Source organism: Homo sapiens, chromosome 2 (genome assembly GCF_000001405.40).
Source record: "Homo sapiens chromosome 2, GRCh38.p14 Primary Assembly".
In the NCBI taxonomy this organism is placed as follows: domain Eukaryota; kingdom Metazoa; phylum Chordata; class Mammalia; order Primates; family Hominidae; genus Homo; species Homo sapiens.
In genome coordinates this window covers 48,563,079-48,576,003 of record NC_000002.12, presented here as the reverse complement: position 1 = coordinate 48,576,003, position 12,925 = coordinate 48,563,079, and the positions used below count along the sequence as shown (strand labels likewise).

The window sequence follows — 12,925 nt, the reverse complement described above, 5'->3', positions numbered from 1 at the left end:
GGTGGATCACCTAAGACCAGGAGTTCAAGACCAGCCTAGCCAACATGGTGAAACCCTGTCTCTACTAAAAATGCAAAATTAGCCAGGCGTGGTGGCGCACACCTGTAATCTCAGCTGCTTGGGAGGCTGAGGCAGGAGAATTGCTTGAACCCAGGAGGCAGATGTTGCAGTGAATGGGTATCACGCCATTGCACTCCAGCCTGGGCAACAAGAGCAAAACTGCATCTCAAAAAAAAAAAAAAAACAAACAAAAACTAAAAATAGAACTACCATATGATCCAGCAATCCACTTACGGGTATTTATCCAAAAGAATTCATTTATTTATTTATTTATTTATTTATTTATTTTTGAGACGGAGTTTTGCTCTTGTTGCCCAGGCTGGAGTGCAGTGACGCAATCTCGGCTCACCGCAACCTCTGCCTCCCGGGTTCAAGTGATTCTCCTGCCTCAGCCCTCTGAGTAGCTGGGATTACAGGCATGCACCACCATGCCCGGCTAATTTTGTATTTTTAGTAGAGATGGGGTTTCTCCATGTTGGTCAGGCTGGTTTCGAACTCCCGACCTCAGGTGATCCACCCTCCTCGGCCTCCCAAAGTGCTGGGATTACAGGTGTGAGCCACAGAACCCAGCCTATCCAAAAGAATTTAAAACAGGGTCTTGAAAAAATATTTGCACTCTCATATTCACTGCATCATTATTTACAATAGTCAACAGATGGAAACAACCTAAATGTTAATTGATGGATGGATGCATAAAGAAAATGCAGTATATTCATACAATAGAATATTATTCAGTATTAAAAGGAAGAAAATTCTGACGCAAGTTGCAACATAGATTAACCTTCAGCACATTATGCTAAGTGCAGTAAGCCCATCACAGAAGGACAAATCCTACATGACTCCTCTTATACGAAGTATGTAAAGTAGTCTAACTCATACCGCAGAAAGTAAAATGGCATTTGCCAGGAACTGGGAGTAGGTAAAAATGGGAAGTTGCTGTTCAGTGGATATAGTTTCAGTTATGTAAGATGAAAAGGTTCTAGAGATTTGCTGTACAACAATGTGCATATCGTTCATAACACCGTTTTTAACAGTTGAAAACTTTTAAAAGAGTAGATTTCCTGTTGTGTAGTTTCATTTACCACAATTGAATAAAACTGAAATACATTTGAATCAACTCAATAAATCTTTATTTGAGTGATCACTATGTACCCAGACCTTGTTAGTATTGTGAAAAACACAGGAGGAGAAGATTAAAAATCCAATTTATAATGAACTTATAACCCATTGACAGTCCAAAAATATGTGAGGTTTACACTTTAGAAGCATTTTCAAATTCACAATCTCGTTTATCAAAAAGACCCTGTGAAGTGTATTATTATTCCAGTTTCATAGCTGAGATGACTTGGCTTTAGGTTCATTGCCTAAAGTCGCCCAGCCAGTAAGAGGTAGAGCCAGAATTTTTTAAATAACAGCTTTACTGAGATATAATTCTTATACCATGAATTCACCCTTTTAAAAAAGTGTCAGTTCAGTGGCTTTTAGTATGTTTAGTATGTTAACACAATTGTGAAACCATCACAACTATCAAATTCCACAACATTCTTTCTTTTCTTTTTTTTTTTTTCGAGATGGAGTTGCACTCTGTCGCTCAGGTTGGAGTGCAGTGGCACGATCTCGACTCACTGCAACCTTTGCCTCCAGGGTTCAATCGATTCTCCTGCCTCAGCCTCCCAAGTAGCTGGGATTACAGGTGCACGCCACCACACCCGGCTAATTTTTGTACTTTTAGTAGAAACAGGGTTTCACCATGTTGGCCAAGCTGGTCTCAAACTCCTGATCTCAAGTGATCCACCTGCCTCGGCCTCCCATAGTGCTGGGATTACAGGTGTGAGCCACTGCACCTGGCCAAATTCCACAACATTCTTTTCATCCCAATAATAAACCCTGTATGCTTATTAGTAGTCACTCCACATACTCCCCTCCCCACAGGCCCTGGAAACCACTAAACTACTTTCTGTGCCTGTGAATATGCCTATTCAGGACATTTTATGTAAACTGAATCATACAACATATGGCTTTTGTGTCTGGCTTCTTTCACCTAGCATAATGTTTCCAAGGTCATCCATGTGGTAGCACATATCACTGCTTCCTTCCTTTTCAAGGCTGAAGAGTAGTCCACTGCATGGAAATATCACACTTTGTTTATCCATTTATCAGTTGATAGACATTTGGTTTGTTTCCACTTTTTAGTTACTTTGAAAAATGCTGCTCTGAATATTTGTGTATAAGTTTCGTGTGATCCTTTTTCTTGAGTATATACCTAGGTGTGGAAAAACCAGGATTTGAATACAGGTCACTTCAGCCCAACCTGATACAACAAATTACTGAAATTATTCTAATGACACCAGAGGCAGTGAAGTGTAGGGACCACAACACTGATGTGGGGCTTGGGTAACCCAAATTCTGGGCACCACTCTGTCACTCACTAGCTGTGTGCACAGCCTCTCCAGACATTCAGGGATTACACTAGAATGAGCTCTGTGGTCCTTTCCAACTCCAAAGTGATGCTATGGCGGCTGACATCCAGTGGAAAATGCTGTCAAAAGCAGAAATTGTATTACCACTAAATACATGGGCTTTAGTGCTGGGATATTTATTTATTTATCTTTCAGAAGTGGGATCCTGCTGTTTCCAAGGCTGGTCTCAAATTCCTGGGCTGAAGTGATCCTCCTGCCTCAGCCTCCCAAGTAGCTGGGATAGGGCAAACGGCCCAAACTGACAGAAAATGAAAGTCCCTGAGATCTACTGATGTAAAAATGCAAACCCTGCTGGAATCATGCCCGTGGGAAAGGCCTATTTTTCTCCCTCCAGCCCACTGTCTTGCCTCCCCTTGTGGATAATGAAGCTTCAACCAATGCAATCATTCAACCTTGGAAACCAGCCAAGACAAAAAGTGACAGGGCCTGGGGCTCCGCTAGGGACAGAGCACTCACTGTTGTCATTTGCTGCATCCACACATTCCTGAGGGCACAAAAACACACAGCGGAGGGCAGCCCAGGCTGCTGGCTCCCTGGAGGCCATTTCACTGTCACTGCCCTTAGGCTGAAGTTGCTGTGAAGCACCTTCCCTCAGAGCAGGGAGAGCAGGGTTTCGATGGGACCCACGAGGAGGCTCACAGGTAGGAAATCAGCAGCACTATATCTCCATCTCACCCTCTTCAGAAGGCCAAAATAACCCTCCTATAGGGGTGAGAGCTCAGGAAAATATTTACTTTAGTTGGGTTTATTAAAAAGAAAAGAAAAAGAGGAAATAATTCCGTTTCAGACTGAATACGATTCTGATGTATGCCAAAAATTTCACCTCATCAGTTTTCCTTGTAGCTTCAAAATTTGCAACAGTGGTGTTGGTTTCTTCAGTTTTTGCTTATTATGAGACAAATAAACTGATTTCCATAAGCAGGAGAAAAGAAATCAAGCCCATTACTTTGTAAGCAGCCCTGAATTTTTTAAAAGCAAACCTTACACAAACATCTCCTACCTTGAAACCCAGATCTATGCAAAGTGCACTCCTACCCCCTCACTGTCCACCTTTCACCCCCGTCCAGGACTCTTCCATAGGAGGCACTCAGCAAATGTGATGTGAGTTTATTCAACCAAATAGAACTTCATATGGTGCCCAATAGGAACCCAAACCTTTGTCCTGGAAGTTTAATACTGTTCTGGAGTCAGCAGCTCTGATTCCCCATTGTCGAGGGGAGGCCTGCTTCCCACTGCCCTCCTCTTCCTCCCCTCTTCAATCTCTTGCTATCTTCCTTTATTAATCCTTTTTGTTTTTTCCAGAGATGGAGTCTTCCTCTGTCACCCAGGCTGGAGTGTAGTGGCATGATCTTGGCTCACTGCAACCTCTGCCTCCCAGGTTCAAGCAATTCTCCTGCCTCAGCCTCCCGAGTAGCTGGGATTACAGGCGCCCACCACCATGCCAGGCTAATTTTTGTATTTTTAGTAGAGACAGGGTTTCACCATGTTGGCCAGGCTGGTCTCGAACTCCTGACCTTGTGGTTCACCTGCCTTGGCCTCCCAAAGTGCTGGGATTACAGGCGTGAGCCACCGTGCCCAGCCTATCAATCCTTTTTACACTTGCTTCCGTTTCTCTTACCTCTTTCAGCTGATCCTTCTATATGACTTCATCTTTCTATTCTGGTCTCAAAACCCCCACCAGCCAGTTGGCACAAAGTCAACAACTAAGATCAATTTCATGCAGCACCTTCTTTCCCTTTCCTTCCCTCCTAATCCTCTCATAGGAAAGGGGGCCACACCCTGTCCAGAGCCTTGGTCTGTTAGAAGCCTATTGGGTCTCCGAGAGATAAGAAGGCTAAGAGAAGTTTAGATGCATTTTCCTCAGTCATCTGCTACTTTACCCTATGCACTTTGAGACCCTGGAATCCAAGAGTATTCAAGGGGCAGCATCTATGTAATTTCAGTTTTGTTTTGTTCCTGCATTACAAGTAGGGTTGGTCTAGATATGTACCTGTTCCTCCCAGAAAGCCCTTCACAGGCAACGTCTCATTTAAACTGCATGACAATCCAGAGCAGACCACAGCTTCTGGGCACTTTCCCCAAAGTCTCAAATCCAGTTAGTGCAGAGCTGGGAACCAAACACTCCTGGCACCAAGTCCCCAGCTGCCTTCCTCTGAAGCAAAGATTCCTCTATTTTGATTCCCTGGCTTTTCCCTCAGCTGTGGATTCCATCCCAGCCTGCATGCCCCATACTTTTCAAAGGTCTACTTTCAATCTGGAATACCCTGCAAACTCCTAGAGGACAATTCCACACAAAATTCAGAGACAAGGCCAGTCACAGTGGCCCATGCCTGTAATCCCAGCACTTTGGAAGGCCAAGGCGGGCAGATCACTGGAGGCCAGGAGTTCAAGAGCAGCCTGGCCAACATGGTGAAACCCTGTCTCTACCAAAAATACAAAAATTAGCTGGGTGTGGTGGTGCTCCTCACAGCTACTCGGGAGGCTGAGGCAGGAGAATCGCTTGAGCCCAGGAGGTGGAGGTTGCAGTGAGCCAAGATCACTCCACTGCACTCCAGCCTGGGGGATAGTGCAAGACTCTGTCTGGGGAAAGACAAAAAAAAAAAAAAAAAAAAAAAAAAAACTCAGAGACAGTTGAGACATCAAGATTCTGAATGAGGCCCAGAAAGAAAAGGAGTATGTATTATGGCTAGAATTTCTAGAAATCCATTTCTGAGTTTCGAAGGTTTCTAGGAAAGTGTTTGCTTCCTCTTTAGACTATTAGACATTTTCTTCAGCTGTCTGTTTTCAAAGCACTGAACTCAAGAAGAAATTAAAAGTAGGCACACATGCCTATTCACACCAGGAATAACAAGGATCTAGTATACAATGGTTTGCAACCTTAGACCTCAATATGTGTGACAAATGGCATTCAAAAGCCTAGCACGTGCTCTTGGATGTACCCAGAATTTAGCACTCCCCATATTTAGGGAAGCCCTGAACTAACTAATTGTCCCTACCATTTTAAGTGGTGATCAGCAATAGGAGGGTTCACACAAAACACGAACAAAGGTTGCACTTGCACACAGTTTGTACAATCCACCCCTTTCTCCCACTTAAGAAATCATATTGGAATTCTTTTTTTTTTTAATTTGAGACTGAGTCTCACTCTGTCACCCAGGCTGGAGTGCAGTGGTGCAATCTCAGCTCACTACACTTCTACCTCCCGGGTTCAAGTGATTCTCCTGCCTCAGGCTCCCGAGTAGCTGAGATTACAGATGTGCATCACCATGCCCTGCTAATTTTTGTATTTTTAGTAGAGATGGGGTTTCGCCATGTTGGCCAGGCTGGCCTCAAACTCCTGACCTCAAGTGATCTGTCTGCCTTGGCCTCCCAATGCGCTGGGATTACAGGCATGAGCCACCATGCCCAGCCTGGAATTCTTGTAAGAGTATTACGGAGATTATCATGAATTGACTCTAAATCGTTTAAAAATACATCTTTCACAAACAGCAATACCTTAAATATTATTACAAATTGATTATCTCTAATTCAAAAACACAAAATCTGAATTGCTCCAAAATTCAAAATGTTTTGAATGCCAACATGACACTCAAAGGAAAAGCTCACTTGAGCATTTTAGATTTGGGGATGCAAATACTCCAAAATCCAAAAAAATCTAAAACACTTCTGGTCTGAGCATTTGGTGTAAAGGATACTCAACCTGTAACAATATTGCAAATTACTTGCAACAAGCCCTATAAATAAGAAGCACTGGTATGGAAAAACAATCTCACAAAAAGGAATTTGAAGATAAAATCTTTCAAGCCATCATAGGAAAAAATTCATATACTCTTTGTGAGTCAGACTGAAGCTTTTTCAAGGAAAGAGCATGTCTCATTTATTAAGACATTTTCCACACTGTCTACAAATGCCTGTGACACAAATACAAAAAGCTTAATACATTTCTGATTGAATAATTTTAAATGGTCTTTTCACTTTTCCACAAATTAAGTCTCTCTACTTCCCTCCCAGTTCAAAGAATCATTGGATAAGACATTTTCCACACTGTCTACAAATGCCTGACACAAATACACAAAGCTTAATACATTTCTGATTGAATAATTTTAAATGGTCTTTTCATTTTTCCACAAATTAAATCTCTCTACTGCCCTCCCCAGTTCAAAGAATCACTGGATTTTAGGGTTAGGAAGACATTTAAGGCTTTCTGTTCAATTAACCACACTAACAAACATTTATCAAATAACTATGTGTTCATGGTGTGCTAAGGGCTGTAGGCTGTATATGCATGATCTCATTTAATACTCACAAACTCATGAAGTAATATTATCATTATTTGGTAGAAAAGGAAAATAAGTTCGGAGGAGTTAAGCTACTTGCCTAAAGTTGCTCGACCAGTAAGATGTAGAACCTAGACTGTGACCAGGTCTGTCCAGTCCCAAAGTCCACCACCCGGAGGTCCAGAGAGATCCAATGCCTTGCTGGTGTCAGGGGTCCTGCCTTTTCTGCACTTTCCACCACCCCACCCTTCACTAATGAAATAGCACCAGGGTAGAGCCACCACCACTTCCTGGAGCCAGGAGCTCTAGATTGGAAGGATGCTGTTCTCACGTGAGAAGAGCCTATTTCTCCAGCAAGCCCACCACACGTATCTGCCCCTTGGACATCAGGCTGTGGGAAAAGCAGACTGATAATTTTCCCCAAGGTTGCTCAAGAACAACAGCTCAGTACAAATTTGGGTCATTTCTGAGAATGGCTTTCATAACTCAGCTCGCCCTATTTCCTGCCCCTTCTTGACTGCATCAACTGACTGTCCTGCCCTTAGTGATGAATAATTTCTCAGAATTGTTGTCTAATAAATAGATTTAGGTGCCCTGCCTCTCTTTTAGTGGCGATTCCAGTATTCTCTGTAATTTTCCAAATTTTGTGTAACTCCCTGCAAAGTTCATCCCTCCCACACCATCATCCCCTACTCCCCTCCAACCTCAAGAGTCTACTTCTGCCGTTCTTTGCAGTTTTCCTCTACTTTTCTTCATAAACCACTCAAATAAAATGTAAATATGAAGTTCTACCTTCTCCTGTAGATTGTTGAAGTCAGATTAGATGCATGTGATAGGTGAAACAGCAATCCAGGTCATATGGCAGCTGAAGACTTTGTCCCCACTTCAGTATGCATCTGTGGGGAAAAGCACGCCCCAATGTGGTCCCTAATGTCTGGCTCCTCTGTTTCTGCTAGATGTTGGGGGAGGACTGATGCCAAGGAGGTATTCAGCAGAGCTCAGGAAGGCATCATCGACACCTCTCAGTAGCCTCCTGGTATCAGCCCAACCAAACTGTCCCTGTTGGGTCAATTCCTACTCAAGCCTCAGGAACACCCTCTCCTTCAGCAGAGGGCTGAATTGAGTCCTTTATTCCTGTGGCTTTTCTTTGCTCTCTAACAATGCTGCATAATCTACAGAAAGAATGTCTTAATTTCAGTGTGTCTGTGCGGTTCCATTGGCTGTTTTTCAAATAAGGAATTCTCAGACTCCCTATAGCGCCAGACTCCTCAAGAGCAACACTGTAACTAGACTTTAGCAGCATTTCCAAACCCTCAGTCTGTTTTTGTATGATTGGAGGGCTGCAATCTAGCTACTGTACATTCCAGAAACAACTGTATATCCTGGAAACAAAGCCAAAGTCAGGGACAGGCCAGTGTGTTAACATGCAGCTGTGAAGAATTTTCTTAAGGGCTTGCTATGACAGTATTTAAAATACCATTCCTGGCCAGGTGCAGTGGCTCACGCCTGTAATCGCAGCACTTTGGGAGGCCGAGGCGGGCAGATCACCTGAGGTCAGGAGTCCGAAACCAACATGGCAAAACCCCGTCTCTACTAAAAATACAAAAATTAGCCGGGCACGGTGGTGGGCGCCTGTAATCCCAGCTACTCAGGAGGCTGAGGCAGGAGAATCGCTTGAACACAGGAGGCGGAGACTGCAGTGAGCTAAGATCGCGCCATTGCACTCCAGCCTGGATGACAGGGCAAGACTGCATCTCAAAAAAAATAAATATATAAAAATAAAATATCATTCCTGTAAAAGGCTTCGTTCTAAAGGGGAAAGCGAAAGTTTGGAACAAAAAGGAATCATCAGAAAACACAATACCTTAAGGAAAATCAAAAAGCCTCACCTTCATCTTAGGTCATGGGAGAAGTGCCCACAGGCTGCATGAACCATATTATTAGCACATATGTTCTGCAGCTCATAATGCTTAATCGCAAACATGTGGGGTATTTAGTTCAGCTATGTGACAGGGAATAACATTTGTAAAATATTAAACCACAGCAAAACCTAACCATGCTTTCAAATATTGTCAGTGCTGGTTCCAGCTCAATTCCCTAACACTGCCCCTCCCCTACGGCATTTAACCTTCATTTTTCCAGCATAAACTTGGGTGCCAACTTTTTTTTTTTACCTTGTTCTAATAATCTGTTCATTTCCTAAATTTAGAGAATAGTGACATAGATTCTCTCTTTGACCAAATTCTAGCCAGGCTCAGAGTCTGCTTCTTGAATAGGCCTTTCAACTTCAGCCTGTAACGACTTGAACAAACACTAATATTGCTTCCAATGGCTCGAGGCCACACCACCACAACACCAGCCCCTCTTAAAGTGCCCGCCTGAGAAAACGCAAGGCTGCCTGAAGAATTCAATGTTTGTTTCAATCAATGCCTGAAGATAGGGTCCCTCTAGCGTCAGTGGGAGAGTAGGAGCCTAACTTTGATAAATGCCAGTTTGCAAACCCAGATGGATTTCACATGGACCAACCCCTCCTTCCCACTTTTTGTAATTTTTCACTTCCCTGACTCCCTTGAGCTCATTCTCCCTTTAAAATGCCCAGTCACAGGTCGGGTGCGGTGGCTCACGCCTGTAATCTCAGCACTTTGGGAGACTGAGGTGGGCGGATCACCCGACGTCAGAAGATTGAGACCAGCCTGACCAACATGGTGAAACCCCGTCTCTACTAAAAATACAAAAATTAGCCGGGCATGGTGGAGACTGAGGTGGGCAGATCACCTGACGTCAGAAGATCGAGACCAGCCTGACCAACATGGTGAAACCCCGTCTCTACTAAAAATACAAAAATTAGCCGGGCGTGGTGGTGGGCACCTGTAATCCCAGCTACTTGGGAAGCTGAGGCAGGAGAATCACTTGAACCTGGGAGGTGGAGGTTGCAGTGAGCCAAGATGGTGCCACTGCACTCCAGCCTGGGTGACAGAGTGAAACTCCATCTCAAAAAAATAAAAACTAATATGCCCAGTCACCTCTGTACAAATGGAAATTGAGTTTGGTTCAAGCTAGACTCTTTTCCCTGTTGCAATAGTTATTACCAATTAAAAATCTATTCTCACCACTTTAACTAATGTCCAGCTGTGTTTATCTTTGACAGTAATATGAACAGAATCCAACCCAAACTGGCTAGTCCCAGAAAATGGTCATTACATGAACAAAGAGAAGATTTGGAGTTGGGTGGGTATTCGGATTTTAGAATTTTATCCTTATTATCATGACATTTCTATGATGTATCCATACCATGTTCATGTCACTGCCATAGATGCTATAGAAATTTGCTAAGCAGGTCACTGAGCCACAGTTTCCTCATCTGTAAAATGGTAATATTAATTTTACCTCATATGTAAATTGCCTCATAAATGTACTCGATATATGTTAGTTTTCCTTTCTCCTCCTCTGTCCCTACTCTAGCCTTTAGAACACCTGCTTTCTCCAGTCAGGAGGAAGCTAAAGAGGCCCAACTCTGGACCTTGGTTTACCATCAAGACAACTTGCTATGAATCTTTTTCTAGAACTGTGTCTCCATTCTGCCTAACTTATGACCATGCCTGTATTCTGCCCTGGGGATCTGATAATATAATTCCCTGTCTTAGATCCCTGTGCCCAATTCCCTGCTCAGGGATCCTCCTTTGTTATGGGCTTAATGTTTGTGTCCCCACAAAATTCCTATGTTGAAACCTGAATCCCAATGTGATGATATTTAGAGATGGGGCCATTAGAAGGTAATGAGGTCATGAGTGTAGAGCCCTCATGAATAGGATTAGTACCTGTATAAGAAGTCGGAGGCTGGGCGCGGTGGCTCACGCCTGTAATCCTGGCACTTTGGGAGGCCGAGGCGGGTGGATCACGAGGTCAGGAGATCGAGACCATCCTGGCTAACATGGTGAAACCCTGTCTCTACCAAAAATACAAAAAATTAGCCGGGCGTGGTGGCGGGCGCCTGTAGTCCCAGCCACTCGGGAGGCTGAGGCAGGAGAATGGCATGAACCTGGGAGGCGGAGCTTGCAGTGAGCAGAGATCACACCACTGCACTCCAGCCTGGGCGACAGAGCGAGACTCCTTCTTATAAAAAAAAAAAAAAAAAAAAAAAGAAGAAGCCGGAGGGCCAGGGACAGTGGCTCACGTCTGTAATCCCAGCACTTTGGAAGGCTGAGGCAGGTGGATCACCTGATATCAGGAGTTCAAGACCATCCTGCCCAACATGGTGAAACCCCGTCTCTACTAAAAATACAAAAATTAGCCGGGCGTGGTGGTGCACGCCTGTAATTCCAGCTACTCAGGAGGCTGAGGCAGGAGAATCACTTGGACCCAGGAGGCAGAGGTTGCAGTGAGCCAAGATCGTGCCACTGCACTCCAGCCTAGGTGACAGAGTGAGACTCCATCTTAAAAAAAAAAAAAAAAAGAAAGAAAGAAAGAAAGAAGAAATAAGGAAGAAGAAGAAGAAGAAAGAAGGAAGAAGAAGAAGAAGAAATAAGAAAGAAGAAGAAGAAGGAGAAGGAGAAAGAGAAGGAGAAGGAGAAGGAGAAGGAGAAGGAGGAGGAGGAGGAGGAGGAGGAGAAGGAGAAGGAGAAGAAGAAGAAGAAGAAGAAGAAGAAGAAGAAGAAGAAGAAGAAGAAGAAGAAGAAGAAGAAGAAGAAGAAGAAGAAGAAGAAGAAAGAAGAAGAAGAAGAAGAAGAAGAAGAAGAAGAAGAAGAAGAAGAAGAAGAAGAAGAAGAAGAAGAAGAAGAAGACACCGCCACTGCCACTGGAGGACCTAGCTCACTCTCTTTCTGCCATGTGAGGATGTAATGAGAAATCAGCCATCTGCAACCCTCACCAGAACCCAACCATGCTAGTACCCTGATCTTAGACCTCAGCCTCTGGAACTGTGAGAAATAAATCTCTGTTGCTTATAAGCCACCTGGTCTATGGTATTTTGTGATAGTAGCTCAAACTTGAAGACATTCTTGAAGATACCATCTCTCTAAATGGAGAAAACTTAATAGGTTTGTGGAGAAAATACCCATGGTCAAATGCCTTTGAGAAATCCTTATCAGAAAGGGCTTACAGGTCTCTTCATGGCAATCCTTCCCAGAGCCAGTCACGGGCCTCTAACAGGAGGGAGAAACAGGTAGTTTTCCTTAAGAACCCACGTGGAGGGCAGGCGTGGTGGCTCACACCTGTAATCCCAGCACTTTGGAGGGCTGAGGTGGGTGGATCGCTTGAGTCAGGAGTTCAAGACCAGCCTGGGCAACATAGTGAGACCTCATCTCCATTAAAAGTTAAAAAAAAAAAATTCGCCAGGCATGGTGGCATGTGGCTGTAGTCCCAGCTACTTAGGAGGCCGAGGTGAGAGAACTGCTTGAACCTGGAAGGTTGACGCTGCATTGAGCCGAAATCACACCACTGCACTCCAGCCTGAATCACAGTGAGACCACGTCTCAAAAACAACAACAACAACAAAAACAAACAAACAAACAAAAAAAGCCACGTGGAGGGTGTGCCTCAGAACCCTCAGGAGCATGCTGAAGACACAAGAGTCTGAGACTAGGGAACACACAGTCCACCTTTACCTCTGGACACCTCGGCCTTTTGTATTCTATTGCCCACTGTCTGCTATGACCATGGGTACTGGCTCTGTGCCTATAGCAGCTTCTTTGACTTAGCAGGGTCTTAGCATCACTCAGGACAAGTAAGAGCCACAGATTCTTTTCCTGGGAGACCAGCAGTCCGCGTAGGAGGACATCCCTGCCTTTGCTTTCCAAGACAGCAGACCAAAGAGCTTCCACACAGACCATGACTGGAATGAGCTCTTGCTTTTGACCTTGGCAAACATGTGAGGGCTTTCTTCCCCAGAGCATCCTCTGGGCATTGAGAATGGCACCTGGCAGCTCTCATCACAGCCCCTCTGACTGTCAACACTCAAGCCTCCCACCCATAGGCCCCAGGACTCTCCTGGCTAAGGTGGAGAAATCAGGGGATTTCCCATGGGAATGGGTCTCTGCAATGCTGCAGGATGCCCAGTGTGCACTCTGCCTAGGGCCATGGGGCCACAGTCTGTCTCCACTCAACCTTACC

General features: G+C 44.3%; 2 protein-coding genes across 4 annotated transcripts in view; both read right to left on the bottom strand.

The window, feature by feature from the left end:
• STON1-GTF2A1L (STON1-GTF2A1L readthrough) overlaps positions 1 to 12,925 on the bottom strand; it is a 246,595-nt gene that overhangs the window by 200,516 nt on the left and 33,154 nt on the right. Inside the window, exon 1 of one of the 2 annotated variants that reach the window (NM_172311.3) lies at positions 6,918 to 7,226. The exons of the other annotated variant lie outside the window; for it this stretch is intronic. The gene's annotated coding sequence lies outside the window, so the exon portion shown is untranslated. Of the gene's footprint in view, positions 1 to 6,917; positions 7,227 to 12,925 lie in introns of those variants that run through there. 2 annotated transcript variants of the gene reach the window in all.
• Positions 1 to 12,925, bottom strand: part of STON1 (stonin 1) — a 68,360-nt gene that overhangs the window by 22,510 nt on the left and 32,925 nt on the right. The window lies entirely within an intron of this gene.